Source organism: Homo sapiens, chromosome 17 (assembly GCF_000001405.40).
Source record: "Homo sapiens chromosome 17, GRCh38.p14 Primary Assembly".
NCBI lineage: Eukaryota > Metazoa > Chordata > Mammalia > Primates > Hominidae > Homo > Homo sapiens.
In genome coordinates this window covers 15,954,331-15,975,917 of record NC_000017.11, presented here as the reverse complement: position 1 = coordinate 15,975,917, position 21,587 = coordinate 15,954,331, and the positions used below count along the sequence as shown (strand labels likewise).

At 47.1% G+C, this 21,587-nt stretch overlaps 1 protein-coding gene across 6 annotated transcripts in view, besides 6 other annotated features; it reads right to left on the bottom strand.

Moving 5' to 3' along the window:
* Positions 1–171: 171 nt before the first annotated feature.
* ADORA2B (adenosine A2b receptor) overlaps positions 172–21,587 on the bottom strand; it is a 125,385-nt gene continuing 103,969 nt past the window's right edge. For 4 of the 6 annotated variants that reach the window (XM_047435373.1, XM_047435374.1, XM_011523659.4 and 1 more), the window contains one exon: positions 172–1,239. In XM_047435373.1, coding sequence (XP_047291329.1) covers positions 576–1,239 — 664 coding nt within the window. In that variant the 3' untranslated portion in view covers positions 172–575. Of the gene's footprint in view, positions 1,240–5,949; positions 6,330–21,587 lie in introns of those variants that run through there. The other 2 variants (XM_017024197.3, XM_047435375.1) reach the window with 2 other exon arrangements.
* Positions 6,109–6,855: an enhancer, noted in NCBI's record as "H3K27ac-H3K4me1 hESC enhancer chr17:15872377-15873123 (GRCh37/hg19 assembly coordinates)". NCBI's record gives its function as "activates a minimal SCP1, AML or CMV promoter by ChIP-STARR-seq in primed H9 embryonic stem cells {active_cell/tissue: H9 hESC(primed)}" and the evidence as "EXISTENCE:reporter gene assay evidence [ECO:0000049][PMID:30033119]".
* Positions 6,856–7,604: an enhancer, noted in NCBI's record as "H3K27ac-H3K4me1 hESC enhancer chr17:15871628-15872376 (GRCh37/hg19 assembly coordinates)". NCBI's record gives its function as "activates a minimal SCP1, AML or CMV promoter by ChIP-STARR-seq in primed H9 embryonic stem cells {active_cell/tissue: H9 hESC(primed)}" and the evidence as "EXISTENCE:reporter gene assay evidence [ECO:0000049][PMID:30033119]".
* Positions 7,855–8,439: an enhancer, noted in NCBI's record as "H3K27ac-H3K4me1 hESC enhancer chr17:15870793-15871377 (GRCh37/hg19 assembly coordinates)". NCBI's record gives its function as "activates a minimal SCP1, AML or CMV promoter by ChIP-STARR-seq in primed H9 embryonic stem cells {active_cell/tissue: H9 hESC(primed)}" and the evidence as "EXISTENCE:reporter gene assay evidence [ECO:0000049][PMID:30033119]".
* Positions 8,440–9,026: an enhancer, noted in NCBI's record as "NANOG-H3K27ac-H3K4me1 hESC enhancer chr17:15870206-15870792 (GRCh37/hg19 assembly coordinates)". NCBI's record gives its function as "activates a minimal SCP1, AML or CMV promoter by ChIP-STARR-seq in naive H9 embryonic stem cells {active_cell/tissue: H9 hESC(naive)}" and the evidence as "EXISTENCE:reporter gene assay evidence [ECO:0000049][PMID:30033119]".
* Positions 9,027–9,612: an enhancer, noted in NCBI's record as "NANOG-H3K27ac-H3K4me1 hESC enhancer chr17:15869620-15870205 (GRCh37/hg19 assembly coordinates)". NCBI's record gives its function as "activates a minimal SCP1, AML or CMV promoter by ChIP-STARR-seq in naive H9 embryonic stem cells {active_cell/tissue: H9 hESC(naive)}" and the evidence as "EXISTENCE:reporter gene assay evidence [ECO:0000049][PMID:30033119]".
* Positions 9,613–10,199: an enhancer, noted in NCBI's record as "NANOG-H3K27ac-H3K4me1 hESC enhancer chr17:15869033-15869619 (GRCh37/hg19 assembly coordinates)". NCBI's record gives its function as "activates a minimal SCP1, AML or CMV promoter by ChIP-STARR-seq in naive H9 embryonic stem cells {active_cell/tissue: H9 hESC(naive)}" and the evidence as "EXISTENCE:reporter gene assay evidence [ECO:0000049][PMID:30033119]".

Here is a 21,587-nt window from a genome sequence, read left to right as displayed (position 1 = left end):
TTTTTAGTAGGGACGGGGTTTCACTATATTGGACAGGCTGGTTTTGAACTCCTGACCTCGTGATCCGCCTGCCTTGGCCTCCCAAAGTGCTGGAATTACAGGTGTGAGCCACCATGCCCGGCCGAATAATTATACTTTTAATTTTTGAGGTCACCTTCCTGGCAACAAGTATACATTTTTAGTACAGTCAACTTTTATTTTTCCATTGCCTCTAAGTTAAAAAGTATTTGCATTATAATAGTTCACACTGTTTCACAGTAAAATAGTTTCAGTAATTTTCCACCATAAACAAGGCAGACTTTTAAAAACAAAAGAGTCTGTTAGAATCCATTCAAGCTGTTGGCATAATCCACACAGTAAAAGCAGCTGAATAGATCATAAATATATTTGTCAATCCTTGGAGCCTACTACTGACACATACATATTAGCTAGATACGTGGTAGCTCCAGGGAAGTGCTCAAGAGAGGCAGTCCATTTCCTTGTGAGGTGTAGCTATCTTTCACAATGAAAACCAGCCGTGTCCTCTTTGTTTCTTGTGGATTTGTATCTTCTCCTGGAAGAGGCGAGAGCCTAGATCATAGGCCCACACCGAGAGCAGGCTGTACCCCAGCCTGACCATTCCCACTCTTGACATCTGCTTGGCAGAGAAGATACCTGGAGATAATTTTGTGAAAAGTGTAGCGGAAGTCTCGGTTCCGGTAAGCATAGACAATGGGATTGACAACTGAATTGGCATGTGACAGAAGAATGGCCATATTCATTGCCCACTTGGGCTTATTTTTACCCTGAGCTGGCTGGAAAAGAGTGACACAGTTAACAGCATGCACAGGTAACCAGCACAGGGCAAAAATCCCCACAATCATGGCCAGTGACTTGGCTGCATGGATCTCCCGCTGGAGGGTGGTCCTCGAGTGGTCCATCAGCTCAGTGCGCTGAAGCTGCCTGCAGGCCACCAGGAAGATCTTAATGTAGATCACCAGCATTATAAGCAGTGGGGGCAGAACACACCCAAAGAAATTGAAATATACCATGTAGCTCATGGGGACCACATTCTCAAAGAGACACTTCACAAGGCAGCAGCTTTCATTCGTGGTTCCATCCCAGGGTTCTGTGCAGTTGTTGGTGGCACTGTCTTTACTGTTCCACCCCAGGAATGGAGTCAATCCGATGCCAAAGGCAAGGACCCAGAGGACAGCAATGACCCCTCTTGCTCGGGTCCCCGTGACCAAACTTTTATACCTGTTTAAAAGAATACCATCTGTTACGGTCAGTTTATAGCGCTCTGCAACCACAATCCAAGACCCCACCTCCTCTTTTTTCCATGACCCTTTAACAACCTCTAAAGTTCACCTTCCAGGGCACTAAGGCCTTTACCCTCAATACTAAAGACATGCAAGCAGGGATGAGCAGCTTTGCTCTAGAAAACTCAGTAAGATCTTCATTCTTGACTTAGCAACTCCTTTCTGTTTAGTGACACAGGATGGCCAATGACAAGAGGTGGGGAAGCCTTAAGGGAGTACTGTAAGTCCTCAATGTCCTCGGTGGGTTCTCAAACTGTGACTTGAAGTATATGTCATAGGAAGTTAACTCTTGTTTATATTGTTAAATCAAGTTTAGCCTAAAGCTGCCTCCTTACATATTTTAAATTTGGCCTAAAGGTTTCTCTGTACATCGTGGACTACAACAAGTGGACGTGTAAACAGACTATAGCCTGCACTCATGCCAATCCTCGACTTTTGGCCAATCAAATGTGGCCAACTGTTCGAACCCTGTTCAAAAAGGGCAAATGCTGAGCTATAACCAATCCAGCTGTTTCTGTTCCTCACTTCCATTTTCTGTACGTCACTTTTCCTTTTTCTGTCCATCACTTTCTTTTTTCTGTCCATAAATTATCTTCCACCACGTGACTGCACTGGAGTCTCTGAGCCTGCTTTGGCTCAGCAGGCTGCACAATTTGTGAATCATTCTTTGCTCAATTAAGCTCTTTTAAATTGAATTCAGCCGAAGTTTTTCTTTTAACAGTATCAACTGTGGTAAAATTGGCTTTGTTATACAGTGCATCATTTTGCTTCAAGTCACAGTTTCCAAAAACCGATCGACTTCCTATACTTCCTACCTACCTAGGTACCGCTCTTTGAGTCTAGGTCTTCTGTAAGGCATTGTTCTAGGTCAGTGGTCCCCAACCTTTCTGGCACCAGGGACCAGCTTCATGGAAGACAATGTTTCCACAGACCAGGGGCGGGGGGTGATGCATTAGATTCTCATAAGGAGCGCACAGCGTAGATCCCCTGCGTGCACAGTTCACAATAGGGTTAGCTCCTATGAGAATCGAATGCTGCTGATCTGACAGGATGCAGAGCTCAGGCAGTAATGCTCGCCTGCCTGCTCACCTTCTGCTGTGTGGCCCAGTTCCTAACAGGCCACGGACCAGTACTAGTCTGCAGCCCAGGGGTTGAGGAACCCTGTTCTAAGTGCTTGAGATACATCAGTGAACAGAACACACAGAGATCCCTACTAAATTTTAACAGACTCAGATCTAGCAGGGGTAAACATAATAATAAACAGTATGGAGATATATGTGGTATGAAACATGAAAAAGCAGAGTAAGAAAGATCAGGATGGGCAGGACTGTAGTTTTAAAGAGGCTGACATCATGGATAAGGTGACACTTGAACAAAGGCCTGAGGCAGTAAGCACTGGAGTCAGCACCACCTGTGGCTCCAGGCAAGGATCTTTCTGGCTTCCCACAAACACCACAAGACATTTGCCTAGGACTATGGGCAGAATCATTTCTGAATACCTCTGCAGACTGCTGGAGAACAAGAGTCTAGCAGTGCCCCTGTCTACTGAGAAATACTAGCAGCAGAGTTGATAAAAATTGGGAAATAGCAAATATTAAATTTTTTGGTCATCTTCAAGCCATTAGATCACAAGTTGGAGACCAGCCTGGGCAACATGGTGAAACTCCATCTCTACAAAAAAGTACAAAACTTAGCCGGGCACGGTGGTGTATATCTGTGGTTCCAGCTATTTCGGGAGAATGAAGTGGGAGAGTCAGGATCACTTGAGCCCAGGAGGTTGAGGCTGCAGTGAGCTGTGATTGCACCACTGCACTCCAGCCTGGGTGACAGAGCAAGACCTTATCTCAAAAAAACAAACAACAAAAAAATACTAGAAACCACTACTGGGGATACCAATACAAAGGGACAAGATCCTAGTCCTTAAGAGGTTTGACCAGTATCCAGTTGAGAGATACAACATGTATCAGATAAGCAGGCTCTATGACAAGTGAGTTATGGGGCAAGAGAATGGGAGCGGCCACCTCTGCCTAAGAGGTGACCAAGAAAGGAAGTGACCTTATAAGAGCAACAGATGCCATAATATCCCTTTTAGACATTTTGCTATACACTAGTCTATCCATGGTTTATAGCAAAGGTACACATTTTGTTATTAACAACTGGTCCATAATACATATGTAATGTATAAATGAACATAATCAATGTAATGTATTAAGTAAATGAAATAAAATCCTTCTGTAATCTCTGGAAGAGAAAACTGGGAAATAATTTGATTGACATTACCTGAAGACTTGCCCATGGGAAGTGTTTGTTTGCTTTACCTGCAGTGTAAGACGTATACTTCCCAGCATGGCCGCAGAACCCCCCAGCCTCGGCTCCACACGTCCAGTGCCTGCCATTCTTAACCAATGGCTCCCTCTGGCTCATGCTATTCTCAACATCAGACAAAGCATCTGTTGCTCTTAAAAGGTCACTTCCTTTCTTGCTCACCTCTTAGGTAGAGGTGGCCACTCCCATTCTCCTGCCCCATAACTCACTTGTCATAGAGCTGGCTTATCTGATACCTGTGGTATCCCTCAACTGGAATGTCAGCCTCTTAAGGACTAGGACCTTGTCCCTTTGTATTGGTATCCCGAAGACCTAGCACAGTTCCCAGCACATAGTATGTTCTTAATATGGCCATCACAGGCCAGGCATGGTGGCTCATGCCTATAATCCCAGTACTTCAGGAGGCCGAGGCAGGCGGATCACTTGAGGTCAGGCATTTGAGACCAGCCTGGCCAACACGGTGAAACCCCGTCTCTCCTAAAAATACGAAAATTAGCTAGGCATGGTGGTGGGCACCTGTAATCCCAGCTACTCAGGTGGCTGAGACAGGAGAATTGCCTGAACCTGGGAGGCAGAGGATGCAGTGAGCCGAGATCATTACACCATTGCACTCCAACCTGGGCGACAGAGTGAGATTCCATCTCAAAAAAAAAAAAAAAAAATGGCCATTACAAATACATTCATCATTTATTATCTGACTTTATTAGGCAGCTTTAAAGAAAGATTCTACTTACTAGGAATACTTGAGGTTGCAGCCTGAACAGGCAGAAGAACCAGTCGTTTGCTGAGGAAGTTAGCTGAGGTCTTGCCTCATAATTTACAATGATCTCTAATCTTTTCTACTCCCTCTTAGCAACAGGCAGCTCAATCATGGGCCCCTATACTACAGAAGACCTGCTGGGCTCAGTTTTTTCACTGAATTTGTCTTGGCCAGTGAATTCATCTGTTTCCCACCTCATTCAGGAATGTAAAGCCTTCCTTAAAAACAGTTGTTCTCTGCCATTGCCTCACTGGAGATGTGAATAACACAATTAGTCCCTGCAGCATAACAAGGAAGCCTCCCAAAGGCGGAGTCCTAAGAATCACAGAACTTCAGGTCCATGAGGCAGCCCATGCAGCAGCCTGCCCTTACTCCTCCTTTGTTCACAGGACTAAGCTGTATCGAGTACAGCGGGTAACAGGTCAGCTCTGGGGGATGAATTTATGTTTGGGATAAGGAAATTATGGCACTTCCATTCTCATGATTGGTCTAGTGGATACATGAAGTGGTTCTGGCCAGTGAGACATACAAGGACATCTGCTAGGGACCTCCAGGAAAGATTTTACTCCCTGATGAAGAGAGAGGGACCCATAAGGACAGCTCTGCCCCATGACCATCCTTTTCTGCTTTTGATGCTCTTGTGGAAGGGTGTGATGCCCTCAGCTGTAGCAGCCACACTGTGACCATAAGGGACAAGCCTGGAGACAAAGCTGATGGCAAAGCAGAAGACAATAGTAGAGCCTGGGTCCTTGATGACACCTTTGAACCACCTGACTAACCCTAGAACCATCACAGCTCCATATTCTGGTTTCAAAAGATAATTAAATGTTTCGATTGCTGATAACACTGTGAGGTACTCCGTTAACACAGCCAAACTGGAGAGGACTTTTATCTTTCTAGTCCAATCTCTCTTATTTCACAAATAAGAAAAGAAAACAAAGAAAAGAAGAACAAAGCTAATACACAAACCAAAGACCAGAAGCTAAATCAGTACTCACAGGCCTGTGTTCCTTGCACTATGTTATGCTGCCTCTTTTTTTTAAAGCGATTTTATATTTGCAGCACCCTGTACATAGAGGCTCATTCATAGGGGTGGCTTCCTACTAGAGTTCAGAACAACAACTGGAGTCCACCCCATCTGAACTTCTCATAGCTGCTGGATCCGACACATGTGCAAAACTGTCATGCCTTCTCTTGGATAAGGAAAAGCAGCTAATTAAATCAGTGGGGCAGCTGGTCACTGCCTTCTCTGTAAACCTCCATCACCACCACTCTTCCCTGTTGGTTCATTAGTTCATTCGAAGAGTTTTTCATTTGTACCACACATTCTGCTAGGCACTGGAAACACAATCACTGCCCTTGTGGAACATAAGCTAATGGGAAACACAGAAAATAAGTAAACATATAAATACGAAGTTATGAATTGCGACGGGTTCCGCTATACCAAAATGAACTGGATGCACTGAGAAGAGAAACATGGAGGCCTTGGATACAGGATGTCAGGAGGCCTTTCAGGCAGAAGCTAAAGGTTGAGGAGTGAGAAATTTGAAAAGTAGAACATACCAGGCCGAGAGAACAACATGTGCTGCTTTCATGCAGGAAAATGAGCCCAAGATGAGGCAGGGGCCAGTTCATAGGCACCGGGACCCATGGAAGACTTTTAAGCAGGGGATGGTACTGATTTCTGTTGTATAAAGGTCACCTGGCCAGAGTACGGAGACTGAATTTTAGGGGAGCCAGAAGAAAAGCAGAGAGATCAGCTAGGAAACTATTTCGGTAGTTGACTCGAGACAACGTCGGCTTGGGCCAGGGTGACAGCAAAAATGATGGAAGTGGATATGCGCTGTGGAGGCAGAACCAACAGGTCTTGCAGATCAACAGGTGCAGGAAGATGAAGACTGGAGGATGATTCCTTAGGGTTTCCCCCTACGCATTTGCATTTCCTGAAAGAGAGGATTAAAGGAAGAGTGGGATAAAGATCAAGAGAATGGTGGATGCGGGCACACTGCTGAAAATGATCAGTAGAGAAGATGCAGGAAAAAGGGACAGATTATTATTATTATTTTATTTATTTATTTTGAGACAGAGTCTCACACTGTCGCCAGGGCTGCAGTGCAATGGCGCGTCTCAGCTCACTGCAACCTCTGCCTCCTGGTTTCAAGCGATTCTCCTGCCTCAGCCTCCCGAGTAGCTGGGACTACAGGCGCCCACCACCACACCCGGCTATTTCTTTTTTTGTATTTTTAGTAGAGATGGGTTTTCACTGTGTTAGCCAGGATGGTCTCGATCTCCTGACCTCGTGATCCGCCCACCTCAGCCTCCCACAGTGCTGGGATTACAGGCGTGAGCCTCCACGCCCGGCCAAAGGGACAGATTATTAAAGAAGGTAAGAATGGGAGGAGGTGGAGGATGCAGGGTCCAGGGCATGTGGGGAAGGACACTTCCTCAGCTGCAGTGGAAGGAAGGACAAGAACAGCGCCAGTGCAGGGAGTGGGACAGTTGAGTGGTGAGAAGATGGGCCAGCATCTCCTTGAGAACTGCTGTTACCTCAGAGAAGGATGGAGAAAGTTATCAGCTGAGGCAGGGGAGGAACCGCACAACCAAACCCCAAGTTTTGGTGACAGATGCCTGCACACCCTCCCCCAGCTGTCCGGACACATCCATGGCACAGCTGCCACCGCCTATGCACCTGCTATTTGGGCAGCTCTGGGCTGTGGACCCCTCACATCTCATCAAACCACGCCTCCTGAGGTGAGAGCTGCTATCCTCAGTTTACAGACGTGGAAGCCAAGGCTCAGAAAGGCTACATGATGTGCCTGCTGCTGCTAAACTGCAGTCAGGACACAGACCTCATCTAATCTGATTCCAATTTCGCCCCAAACTGCCATTTTCCTGCATAGGAATCTACAGCTCTTCCATGTTCAACTCACAAATTCCAGCTCCCTCCTCCGCCTGACCACACAGCCATAGGTCAGCAGCTTGAAGACTTGAAGGAAGGGGCTTCTGCCACCCTCCTGGGAGGCAGTCCTCAAGGACAGCAAAAAGAGGCATGCTGGAGGACATAACCAGACCCCTCAGCACAACCTCTGTAGGAAGCGGAGTGTGCTCTGCGATGTTATGGTATGTATGTATAGTCACCTCACCGTATGTACACACAGGGGGTTGGTTGCAGGATCCCCATGTATGCCAAAGTCCTCACATACTGAGGTTCCGCAGTCAGCAGCCCTCCGTATATGTGGGTTTCACATCCCAGGAATACTGCATTTTCAGTCATGTTTGGTTGAAAAAAATCCAATACAAGTGGACCTGCATAGTTCAAACCTGTGCTGTTCAAGGGTCAGCTGTGTTGGCTTTGGTCCACAGTTCCTGGCACATAACTCCCATAGCCCTTGTTACTTCTCCCCAAGACAGGCCATGATAACTAAAAATATATCTTCCTCTGTCTTTCTGTCTTGGAGCTGTCCATAAAGAAATTCTCTGATCTACCTTGTTTGATTGTGACTCATAAGACCCGCATTTCAGAAGGGGTCCTGCCCCTCCCCTAGAAGGAGCCGCACAGAGAGGCCAAGAAGCATTGGAACAGATAGGCTTTGCTGAGTTTCCCCATTCAGCCTGTCAGTCTGAATCATGCCTTTTCGTCCACTCACACTGCCACCCAGTTGTCCATGCTTGAGTCATGTCTATTCAATGGAGAATCCAAAAAAGGGCTACGACGAAAAGGTACGGAGAGCTACAGGACAGCCAAACACATGGAGGTTCCTGAAGGATGGTGCACCCAAGGAGGGCATGGAAACGCCTCGCTCTTTCTCACACCTCACCCTGGTCTATGTCCTTTGTAATATCATTTTTTGTTTTGTTTTGTTTTTTTGAGACGGAATCTCACTCTGTCGTCCAGGCTGGAGTGCAACAGTACAGCTGAGGAAGTGTCCTTCCCCACGTGCCCTGGCCCCTGCATCCTCCACCTTCTCCCATTCTTATCTTCTTTAATAATCTGTCCCTTTGGCTGGGCGCGGTGGCTCACGCCTGTAATCCCAGCACTTTGGGAGGCCGAGGTGGGTGGATCACCTGAAGTTAGGAGTTCGAGACCAGCCTGGCCAACGTGGTGAAGCCGTCTCCACTAAAAATACAAAAATTAGCCGAGTGTGTTGGCGCATGCCTGTGATCCCAGCTATTCATGAGGCTGAAGCAGGAGAATTACTTGAACCCAGGAGGCGGGGGTTGCAGTGAACTGAGTGAGATTGCACCACTGCACTCCAGCCTGGGTGACAGAGCGAGACTCCATCTCGAAAAAAAAAAAAAAGGCAAGCAGGTGTCCCTGCACTGGGCAGGACACTGGAAGGAACGAACCCCTGGGGACTCTGGCATCTCAGGAGGGCTCTGGTAACCACCTGCCACGCCCTCTCCTTTCCCACTTCCTGCTGGGCCTCTGTCCTCTCCCCAGGCCAGTCTCCCTCCTCGGCCCCACCCCTTGCTGCAGACTCTGCCTCCCTCCCTGTGCTCCGAACACCCTCAGGTCTGCATGCGTTTGTCCATCTCCCCAAAACATTCCTGAAGGGCATGGGCCACGTCCTTCCGTCCTTCCGTTCGCCAGCCCGTGGCAGTCACTGCTCTGCTGCAGAGGTCACTGAGCACTGCAGTGAGGCCAGGGAAGCAGGACAACCGCCCCAAATGTAGGAGAGTGAATAACAGGCGACTGAAAAGTGAACACAGGAAACACAGGCAGCTTTATTATTCCAAACAAGGCAGAAACAATCCCAGCCTTTGCAGGCCCACACAACAGGGGAGTTCTGGGAAAGTCCACACTCTGGGAAATGGCTATGCCCCACCACTGTGTACGGAGCTGTGCTCTGATCCATCCATTCTCCTTATAAGGAGCTCATTAGCTAAGGAGATTGACAGAAAAACAGTCACACGGAGGGAATCAACAAAAGGAAACAGCGTGAACACTGAGGTTACGTAAGGAAACGGGGAACCGCCAAGGCCTGCATAACAAGCACTGGCCTATTTCTGGGGCAGGGTCTCCTCCTGCACTGGCTCTGTGGCCCTCAGCTCAAACCAGGCTTAGAAATCAATTCCCAGCTCTCAAGGTGCTCCTAGTATAGATCAAGGGCAGCTACCTGGGGAGTGACATTGAGCCTGGCCAGTCCAGCCACAGGCTGGATGGAGCCTGAGCTTCCCATCGGAAACACTAGCCCCAGAACCCGCCTCCAACCTGCTGCTGAGGCTTTTAACATAGACGGAATGTGTACAAAGCACTTTAGAAATGCAGATTGCTAAGTAAATGCACACAGAGTTCTACTGCCGCTTCTTAAAATTGTTTCCTGTTTGTTTTAGGGATGTTTCTTCCGTTTATAGTCTATCTAGCTCACAAGCTTTAAATTCCTCTGAAATACATACATTTCTGCTATAAAGCAATATATACATTCTTAGAAAACCTCATGTTATCTTATTCCACATATTAACAGGACTTCTGTGAAACATGGGGCTAGAGCAGACCACTCAAACCTACAAAACATTGTCACTAGAGCACTAACAAAATCTTTTGGGACACCCAGGCAGGCAGTTCAGTGGGGCAAGAGGCTGCCACCATGGATATTAAAACTGCACCAAAAAAGTCAAATAGAAAGCCTGGCAAACTTTAATTAGAGCAAGGCTGACAGGTGCCAAGACAGTGCAGATGAAAGAGGAGTTCTGAGCCAGGGGGCTGTTACTAAGATGGGCCTGGAGGCAGCGTAGCCTGCCACGGCCAAGACCCCAGCAGGCTAGGATGTGGCTTTCTACGGGAGTGCCAGCTGCAGGCACTGTTTTTTTCTTGTTCCCAGGAGCCCACAGGGGCTCCTGCGGCAGAGCAGTCAGAGGGCTTTTTCCTTTCCTGCTGAACACTGTCATTCTCCTCCCACTATTCCACCTCCTTTGCCTAGGCAAAATCACAGGTGAACCAAAGCAGTGTCTCCATTATACCAACATCCTTCCCCTGGCCACCTGCCACGCGTGAATTAATTCACAGTACAGAAGTTCACATGGAAGCAGAGCAGCTTATCTGCCCCTGAGCTCTCAGGGCAGCTCATGACCACCCAGAGCACCTCTCCCGTGTACCTACCACACAACTGCATTTTCTGTCTCTTTCCACTGAAGGATGAGCTCCTCCATGGAACAGACTCACAGCTGTATCCAAAACACCTAACACTGCCTGGCAAGCAAATGGTGAGAGAAAGCCTGAGTTTATAAGAAGGGAACAGAACCCTGCCTTCTTAATCAAAGAAACATGTTGAACACCCACCTGGGACTTGGGAGTTCTAAATAAAGCAAGGCATCAACATCAAGTGCATGAACATGGTTTCAGCTTCAGCTTATAAACCACTAGAGGCTATCTATATAAGAGGGGATATTGTTATGACGAGCTTCTGAGCAGCCTCCCATTTTTTCAGATTTCCCATGGGATCAAACTATGAAATTTTGTTTGTTTGTTTTTGAGACAGAGTCTAGCTCCGTCGCCCAGGCTGGAGCGCAGTGGCACGATCTCGGCTCACTGCAAGCTCCGCCTCCCGGGTTCACGCCATTCTCCTGCCTCAGCCTCCTGAGTAGCTGGGACTACAGGCACCCGCTGCCACACGGGCTAATTTTTTGTATTTTTAGTAGAGACGGGGTTTCACCGTGTTAGCCAGGATGGTCTCGATCTCCTGACCTCGTGATTCGCCCACCTTGGCCTCCCAAAGTGCTGGGGTTACAGGCGTGAGCCACCGCGCCCGGCCAGATTTTTTTTTTTAATATTCATCTATTTTTCAGATTTCCTATGGTACCAAACTATAAAAGGTTTTTTTTTTAATATTTATGAACAGAAAAATAAATAGAAATTTTAATAGCACTATAACAATTAAAAAAGTAGAATTCATCTTTTCTTTTTTTTTTTTTTTTTGAGACAGAGTCTTGCTCTTGTCGCCCAGACTGGAATGAAGGTGCAGTGTCATGATCTCGGCTCACTGCAACCTCCACCTCCCAGGTTCAAGCGATTCTCCTGCCTCAGCCTCCTGAGTAGCTGGGATTACAGGCGCCTGCCACCACACCTGGTTAATTTTTTTGTATTTTTAGTAGAGACAGGGTTTCACCATGCTGGCCAGGCTGGTCTCGAACTCCTGACCTCTGGTGATCCGCCAATCTTGGCCTCCCAAAGTGCTGGGATTACAGGTGTGAGTCACAGCGCCCAGCCTAAAATTCATCATTTTAAACCTTCCCACAAAGAAAACTTTAGGCCTAGATGATTTCACTAATTCTGCCAAACATTTAAGGAACAAATAAAACCATTCTTACACAAAAACAACAATAAAAAAAGTAGATACTATTAGATTTTACTTATATGAACGGGAAGCAGGCCTCTCTGCCATCTGCGTCCTGAGGGCAAACCACCTTATCTCTGCAGATGGGCACGGCTGTAGCCTGCAGGCCAGTCTGAGGAAAGGACAGCATCTGCCTGCCCACTGGATAGCAAGGTGTGGTCACCAAAGGTTACTTTCAGGCCGAGTCTTCCCAGGAGGCCCTGGCCCCGGGCTGCTCTGGCTCCTGTGGGGTTCTCATCTACTCCAGCAAGTTCAGACATGTCTGAATTCCAGTGATGGACCTGGCTGGGCCTGAGCTGAGCCCACTGTCTTATGTGAAGGTGGCTGGGAGAGATGCCATTTGTCCTTCACAGTCCCCTAAGAACAAAAGATGAGCAATGCAGGTTGCGGTCAAGAAAGTTGGCAGCACTCCCAACCAGCTTCCTATGGCAAGAAGAGGCAATCCAAGGTGGTCCACCAGTGATTCAACCAGTTGAGACTGAGGTTAGGGGCCAGGACCAGGTCTCCCAGAGTTCCCCTTTGGGCCTGGTGATTCTCATGTGCTGTTTTCATGGATCACATGGGACACAGAGACAGCCCAAAGCTACTGGGCTCCAGACTCTGATCTCCTTCCCATAAAATAAGCAGTCCCTGAGAGAAAGGGCTCCTGCCTGGAACCAGACCAAAAGATAACAGGACACTCTGTCCTCTGCCCCAAAAAGTGCCCTCCCAAGGCTGGGGTTACGGAGCACTGCCTCAGATGTGACATTAACTGTCAAAAGCATCAGCCGCCATAAACACAAGCGACCAGCAAGAGGGGTACATGAGAAGGCACTTGGTTGATGTGGTGTCTGCCAGGTTTCTCCATCATAACTTTCCCATTTTAATTAGCAGGTATCTTGTGGTACGTGTTTGGGGACTGTAAGTATCTTACTCCTCATCAAACTTTCACCTACAAGTTTTAGCACCTATTGATGATTCTTGCCTGAATCAGTTCTTACTATGACAGTCGTGAAATGGTGATTTGCTTAACTCAATCATTCCTTTTCATTAATTAGATGGCATTGTATTATAAGCAAGAGTTCTTGTAATTCACTATTTTTTATTAAAAAAAACCTCCTACCTCTGTTTATTGCTAGGGCCCAGAAAAAAGGATACTCCAGTAGCACTGAGCAAATCTACCCAAATCTTGGTTTTTATATATAATTCTCCACTAAAAGGAACCAAGACTCTTTGGAAAATGGCTAGTACTCAAACTGGAAACTACAATGTGAGCCTGGAATACCTTTCTATGCCAAAATATAAGAAAGTGCTCAAAAACAATAGGAACACTCAAACAGAAGTGACCTTGTAAGGGCCCTCTCTCACTGGCTGAATTTGGGCATCAAAATAAATAACAGGGGCCGGGCGCGGTGGCTCATGCCTGTAATCCCAGCACTTTGGGAGGCCAAGGCGGGTGAATTGCCTGAGGTCAGGAGTTTGAGACCAGCCTGGCCAACACGGTGAAACCCCGTCTCTACTAAAAATGCGTGGTGGCAAGGCGCCTGTAATCCCAGCTACTCAGGAGGCTGAGGCCACAGAATCTCTTGAACCTAGGAGGCAGAGGTTGCGGTGAGCTGAGATTGCGCCATTGCACTCCAGCCCAGGCAACAAGCGCGTAATTCTGTCTCAAAAAAATGGAAAAAATAAAAATAAATAAATAAATAACAGGAATGGATTATAACTCGTTTAATGAAAATAAAATTCTGTAAGTCCATACTGACATTAATAAAATAAGGAAGGGCAAGGAGAAGCTAAAGCTTGTCTTTACAGAAGAATGCAAACTGATAAATGTGGAAGGAATGAGGAAAAAAAAGAAAATTACCAATTTTGTTTTGTTTTGTTTTGTTTTGTGTTGTTGTGTCTTGTTTTGTTTTGAGACGCAGTCTTGCTCTATTGCCCAGGATGGAGTGCAGTGGCGCGATCTTGGCTCACTGCAACCTCCGCCTCCCGGGTTCAAGCAATTCTCCTGCCTCAGCCTTCCGAGTAGCTGGGATTACAGGTGCCCACCAACATGCTCAGCTAATTTTTGTAATTTTAGTAGAGATGGGGTTTCACCATGTTAGCCAGGATGGTCTTGAACTCCTGACCTCAAGTGATCCACCCACTTTGGCCTCCCAAAGTGCTGGGATTACAGCCATGAGCCACTGCACCCGGCCTGAAAATTACCATTTTATAATCACCGTGGTTGCTGTGATTTGAATGTGCCCCCCGAAGTTCATGGGTTAGAAACTTAATCTGCAATGCAACAGTGCTGAGAGGTGTGACCTTTAAGAGGCGATCAGGTCATGAGGGCTCTGGCCTCAGGAATGAATTAATGTCACTATCATGGGAGTGGGTTTTTTATCTTAAGAGTGGGTCTGTTATCTTGAGAGTGGGTCTGTTATAAATGCAAGTGCAGCCCTCTCTTGCTTGCTCACTCTCTCACCTCTCTTACCCTCTCACTTTCTGCCATGGGATGATGCAGCCAGAAGGCCCTCGCCAGATGCTGGCACCTTAATATCAGACTTCCCAGCCTTCGTAACTGTGAGAATGTATTTGTTTTCATTATAAATTATGCAGTCTGTGGTATTCTGTTATAAAAGCATAGAATGGACTAAGACAATAGTAGTAACTCATTCAGGCAAGAATCATCAATGGGGAAAACATACCCTTACAGTGAAGAACCCTGGCAGACACAACCTTTACCATGTGATCAGATTTATACCAACAATGGGAGAAACAGACATTGTGTCCTTCTTACTTAATGGACTGACTGAGGATGCAGCACCACTCATGTAGACAGTATTGCCACCAAAAAGGTTTAACCTGAATGTAACCATAAGGAAACAACCAAACTCAAATTGAGGGACATTTGGCAAAATCACCTGAACTCAAAAATGTTAATTTTTTTTTTTTTTCCCCAAGAAAAGGTCTCACTCTGTTGCCCAGGCTGAAGTGCAGTGGTACACTCACTATTGTATTAGGGTGATGCAAAAGTAAAAGTAATAGCAGCTTTTGCCTTTTTTTTTTTTTGACAGAGTCTCGCTCTGTTGCCAAGGCTGGAGTGCAGTGGCATGATCTTGGCTCACTGCAAGCTCCGCCTCCCAGGTTCACGCCATTCTCCTGCCTCAGCCTCCTGAGTAGCTGGGACTACAGGCACCCGCCACCACGCCTGGCTAATTTTTTGTATTTTTAGTAGAGACGGGGTTTCACCATGTTAGCCAGGATGGTCTCAATCTCCTGAACTCGTGAATCGCCCGCCTCGGCCTCCCAAAGTGCTGGGATTATAGTCGTGAGCTACTGCGCCCAGACTTTTTTTTTTGAGACGGAGTCTTGCTCTGTCGCCCAGGCTGGAGTGCAGTGGCATGATCTCGGCTCACTGCAACCTCTGTCTCCTGGACTCACGCCATTCTCCTGCCTCAGCCTCCCGAGTAGCTGGGACTACAGGCACCCACCACCATGCCCGGCTAATTTTTTTGTGTGTGTTTTTAGTAGAGACGGGGTTTCACCGTGTTAGCCAGGATGGTCTCGATCTCCTGACCTCATGATCTGCCTGCCTTCGCCTCCCAAAGTGCTGAGATTACAGGCATGAGCCACCGCGCCCGGCCAATTTGTGCCTTTTTTTTTTTTTTTTTTTTTTTTTTGAGACGGAGTCTCGCTCTGTCGCCCAGGCTGGAGTGCAGTGGCGCGATCTCGGCTCACTGCAAGCTCCGCCTCCCGGGTTCACGCCATTCTCCTGCCTCAGCCTCCCGAGTAGCTGGGACTACAGGCGCCCGCTACCACGCCCGGCTAATTTTTTGTATTTTTAGTAGAGACGGGGTTTCACCGTGTTAGCCAGGATGGTCTCGATCTCCTGACCTCGTGATCCGCCCGCCTCGGCCTCCCAAAGTGCTGGGATTACAGGCGTGAGCCACCGCGCCCGGCCCAATTTGTGCCTTTTTTTAATGGCCAAAACCACAATTACTTTTGCACCAATCTAATAGCTCACTGTAACCTTGAACTCCTGGGCTCAAGCAATCCTCCCACCTCAGCCTCCTGAATAGCTAGGACTATAGGCATGCGCCACCACATTTGACTAATTTTCTTAATTTTCATAGAGATGGGGCCTCGCTGTGTTGCCCAGGCTGGTCTTGAACTTCTGGCCTCAAATGATCCTCCTGCTCAGGCTCCCATTACAGGTGTGAGCCACCGTGCCCGGAGGAAAATGTTAATGTCTTGAAAGACTAAAACAAACAAAAGACTGAGGAACTCTTTCAGATTAAAGGAACATATTAAATGCAAGCATGACCTTTTAATAGAACCTGGATTTTTTAAAAAAGAACAACTATAAAGATATGATTGGGATAACTGGGAACATCTGACTATAGACTGTGGCACCTATTACAATTTCTAAATGTGGCTAGGCACAGTGGCTCATGCCTGTAATCCCAACACTTTGGGAAGCCAAGATGAGTGGATCACCTGAGGTCAGGAATTCACGACCAGCCTGGCCAACATGGCAAAACCCCATCTCTACTAAAAATACAAAAATTAGCCAGGCATGGTGGCGTGCGCCTATAATCCCAACTACTCGGGAGGCTGAGGCAGGAGAATCACTTGGACCCAGGAGGCGGAGGTTGCCGTGAGCTCAGATCGCGCCATTGCACCCCAGCCTGGGTGATAGAGCAAGACTCTGTCTCAAAAAAAAAAAAAAAAAAAAAAAATCAGAATGTGATCATTGTGCCAGTGTATGTGTGTGTGAGACAAACCAAATGTAGCAAACTATTCATAATTTGTGAATGTAAGTGAAAGGTATATAGTAATGCACTGTATTAGTCATGCAACTTAAAAGCTGTGAAACAATACACTGTTTCAGAATGACTCATTATTTCTGAAACCACAAACTTCGTTAGATGAGTCAGATACAAATATGTACTGTACTCATTTTGTAATTTTTAAAAAATCCCTGCAATTAAAAGACTAGGTTGCTAAATGACTTCTGAAAATGCCAAATTTAGGAGGCATTTTATCCCTCTGTAACACTGCTAACCATTCCCCATCAAAGTCTCCCTGCTGGTTTTAGTGAAGCCAGTCTAGCTTTTTGGCCTCTTCAGTTTCTCCTATCTCTCCTCTCAGGACACACGATGTGGGATTCTTATCTTTAGGCAACAAGCTCATCGGTTCAGAGCTAATCCCACCCCCGATTATACACACACAGAGACACATGTTCATACATTTGCATGCACATGTATACTGCCGACTCTTAATATGTCACAAGCCAAGCCAGTGACTGGACAACACACAGGGGATAATGAGAAAGCAACAGACATGTGCCCTGCTCATAACAGAGAAAGGATGGCAAACCTTAAACAAATTACAAATAATTAAGAAAAGAGCTGCAAGTATGCAGAGAGCTGCAAAAGAACCCTGTGTGCCCCCCAGAGGGAGTGTCATTTTCAGGGGCACAGAGAAAATGGGGAAGAATCAGCAGGCAAAGAGATAGAGAGAAGGTCACCGCAGGCAGAGGGAAACACATGCGCAAAGGCCTGAGCTCCAGAAGTCTCAGGAATTGAGAGGGGTCCTGAGAAGTCAGGGTAGAGAAACGAAGGAAAGAGAGGACGGGGATGAGGCCAGAAGCAGACCTAGGCCCCAGACCAGGTGGGGAGTAGGGGCAAGGGAGAGATCTGGGATGACATCCTAAGGCACTGGGAGCACTGGGTAAAGGAAGGAGGTGCACACAGGGGTTCATTTCAGAAAGATTGCAGCTATGTGAAGAATGGGCTAAAAGAACAAGGATGGATGCGGAGAGACCAGATAGGAGAATGCTGCCCTGGAATGGGGCAGACGTGGAGATGGGGCCTAAGAGAAGTGAATGGAGGGAGAGTTTAAGAAGTGTACCTGGGCCGGGCGTGGTGGCTCACGCCTGCAATCCCAGCACTTTGGAAGGCCGAGGTGGGCAGATCACCTGACGTTGGGAGTTTGAGACCAGCCTGACCAACATGGAGAAACCCTGTCTCTACTGAAAATACAAAATTAGCCGGATGCAGTGGCGCACGCCTGTAATCCCAGCTACTCGCGAGGCTGAGGCAGGAGAATCGTTTAAACCTGGGAGACAGAGGTTGCGGTGACCAAGATCGCACCATTGTACTCCAGCCTGGGCAACAAGAGTGAAACTCTGTCTCAAGAAAAAAAAAAAAAAAGGAAGTGTACCTGACAGGTCCTGGTTCTACAATGTCGTTCAATAAAGCTTTGTAGTTCTCTATGTTTAAAAAACAAAACAAACAAACAAAAAAAAACACTCAGCAGTGGTGCTAAAATCAGCAGTGGAAATCAGGATGTCATAGACAGAAAGCTGCTTTGGGAAGTCTGCAGGTGGCGGGACTGGCGCAAAACAGGTGGCACACCAAAGAAGGTTGGGCGGAGACGGGTGGGAGGAGTTTGAACACATTTAAATGGGGAAGGGAAGAGGCTGCTGTGCAGGAATAATGAACGGTCCAGGGCTCCCATAAAGCAGGAGTTGGGTCCAGAGCCAGGTGGAAGAACTAGCAGCCCCAGACTCCCCAAGACTCGACCACTACTGCGTCTCTCAACCTGCAGGCACCTTAAACACAACCTAGGCAACACCTTCCCAAAGCCCCCATCTTCAGGATGGCATCACCCAGGCGACCGGAAATCTGGGAGTCATCCTGGAGTCTTCTTCTCCTTCATGTCCACATCCAACTGAGTCACCAAGTCCTCTTGAACCTGTCCCGTGTGCCCTGTCTTCCAGCCAGAAGCACACGACTATGTGCTATCGATCAGATCTGCTTGCCAGTCACTCATGCTGACTCATTACTGCTCCACAATGGCAGATCTCACGCACATCAATTCCACTCAGCCTGGCCCTAACTACCCACATTTCTAGGTGTCACTCACTGATTGTGGCTCCAGGGCCCATCTGTGGTTCTCAGGACTCTTTCCTATATGATTTTACCTGTGGCTCCTCTGCTCCAGACTGCTGAACTCCATGGCTGGCATCAAACATCAGCCTTCTCTGGTGCAGAAATTGTGGTTCTACGAGTCTCCAATATCTGTAGAGTCTGCTGCCATCTCCATGGCCTCTGCCCTGGTCATGCTTTTTTCCTTCTCATCTGGATGCCAAGTGGCTACCCTATATCATCTTGTCCCGTCCATTCCTTCCTTCAGCTGTCCACCAGTGACTTTTACAATGCAAACCTGACCATATCAAACTCCAGATTAAAATTGTACCTTGGCATTCCAAGTTCCACCTAATTATCACTCCTCACAAAATCACATTTTAATGACAGTAAAGACACACAGGCCGGGTGCGGTGGCTCATGCCTGTAATCCCAGTACTTTGGGAGGCCGAGGCGAGTAGAACACCTGAGGTCAGGAGTTTGAGACCAGCCTGACCAGCATGGTGAAACCCCGTCTCTACTAAAAACACAAAAATCAGCTGGGCATCGTTGGTGGCATGTGCCCGTAATCTCAGCTACTTGGGAGGCTGAGGCAAGAGAATCGCTTGAACCCAGGAGGCAGAGGTTGCAGTGAGCCAAGACTGCACCATTGCACTCCAGCCTGGGCAGTAAGAGCAAAACTGTCTCAAAAAAAAAAAAAAAAAAAAAAAAGACACACATAATCATCCTAAAAAAAGAAGTAGAGGATGATATCAGCAAACCGGAGATTTTTATGAGTTTCTAAAAACAGAAGGTGGACAGGATCATCAGCATGAACCATGGAACCCTAAATTGGAAACATGGATGGCCAGGATGAGAGGCTCCAGTCTAGCAAACAGCAGGGATCAGAATGGGATTAAGAAAAGAACAGATGTCAAGAGGAAGACAGCCTGTGGGCAAGCTTTGGGAGCTGTGGCATTGATCCCCTCCCCCTCCCACACTCTCCCCAAGCTGTGGCTAGAGACCTAGTGATAACGGGTGGGGGAGGGGAAGAGTTTAGGTTATGTACACTCTGCCACACGAGGAATCTCAACCATGTGAATCTAAAAAATGTTTTTCAAAGTCAATTTAAAATCCCTTAGTCTTCATCAAAAGTAAACATATGAATGCTAAAATTGTATTGAAAAATAGAAGAACAAAGGAAAAAAAGCGAAGAAACTCTTACAAAGAATGAGAAAGCACTGGGAACTGTCAGAGAACAGTGATCAGGAAAGGAGGGGACGTCCCCATCTGCCTATTAAGAATCCCAGAGGCGTGGCTCACGCCTGTAATCCCAGCATTTATGGAGGCCGAGGCAGGCAGATCGCTTGAGGTCAGGAGTTCGACACCAGCCTGGCCAATATGGTGAAACCCCATCTCTACCAAAAATACAAAAAATTAGCCACGTGTGGTGGTGCACGCCTGTAATCCTAGCTACTCGAGAGGCTGAGGCAGGAGAATCACTTGAACCCGGGAGGTGAAAGTTGCAGTGAGCCAAGATTGTGCCACTGCACTCCAGCCTGGGTGACAGAACAAGATTCCATCTCAAAAAAAAAAAAAAAAGAATCCCAGAGGCGGCCAGGTGTGGTGGCTCACGCCTGTGGTCCCACAACTTTGGGAGGCCAAGGTGAGTGGATCACTTGAGGTCAGGAGTTCAAGACCAGCCTGGCCAACATGGTGAAACCCCGTCTCTACTAAAAAATACAAAATACAGCCGGACTTGGTGGTACATGCCTGTAGTCCCAGCTACTCGGGAGGGTGAGGCAGGAGAATTGCCTGAGCCCGGGAGATGGAGGTTGCAGTGAGCCAGTGAGCCCAGATCGTGCCACTGCACTGCAGCCTGGCCAACAAGCGAGACTCTGTCTCGAAAAAAAAAAACAAAAAAAACAAAAAAAGAATCCCAGAGAAAAGAACAGAGGAAATGGAGATAAGGAATTAATTAAGAAAATACAGTTTTCACTTGGTATACACAGGGGATTTGTCCCAGGGCACCCAAGTACTCCAAAATCCGTATGTAATCAAATCCTGAAGTTGGCCCCAAGAGCCCCACTACAGGAAAAGTTGGCCCTCTGTGTACTCGGGTTCACAACCCGCAAATACTGTATTTTCAATCTGTGTTTGGTTGAAAAAAAATCCATTTTAAGTGAACCCACACAGTTCAAACCCAAGTTGTTCAAGGGTCAACTGTATTCTTTGAAAATTTCAGAGCTGAAGACAGACCTAAGTCTTCAAATTGGCAAGGTTCACCTACCTACTAGTGCCATCCTCAATGAAAAAAAAAAGTAAGAGTTACCATTTAGACCCAGTCTCACAAAATTTCAGAACACCAAGGAAAAACAAATGATCCCAAAGGTTCCCAGAGGAGAGATACAAGTTACAAGTAAGAATCATTACACACCAGACTTTGTGAGCAACACTGGGTGTTACAGCAACCCCTTCAGACATCTGAGGGAAAACACTTCCGAACCACAATCTATCAACCAACCAATCATATGTGAGAAATAAAAAATTTTTTTTGAGACAGGGTCTCACTCTGTTGCCCAGGATGGAGTGCAGTGGTGTGAATGCAGCTCACTGCAGCCTCAACCTCCTGGGCTCAAGCGATCCTCCTGCCTCAGCCTCCCAAAGGGCTGGGATTACAGGTGCGAGCCATTGCACCAGGCCAAAAAAACATTTTTGACATATAAGAACCCAGAAAGTTTATCCTCGTGTCTAACAAATATGAAATCCTAGAAAGAGGAAAGAGAACATGGAATGCAGGAAATGCTGGAACCACTCCAAGGGCACAGTAAAGGAAGCCCTAGCGGCTGTGTGGCACACATAGCAAAGGGGTGAGGAGGCTCAGCATGAGGGTGATTAAGAAGCTGGGTGATCACGAGGATGTGGGAAGGCATGCTTCCTACTTTAACTTTCTAATTTCCAGATGGTAAACCTGAAGCAGGCTAAAATGTGA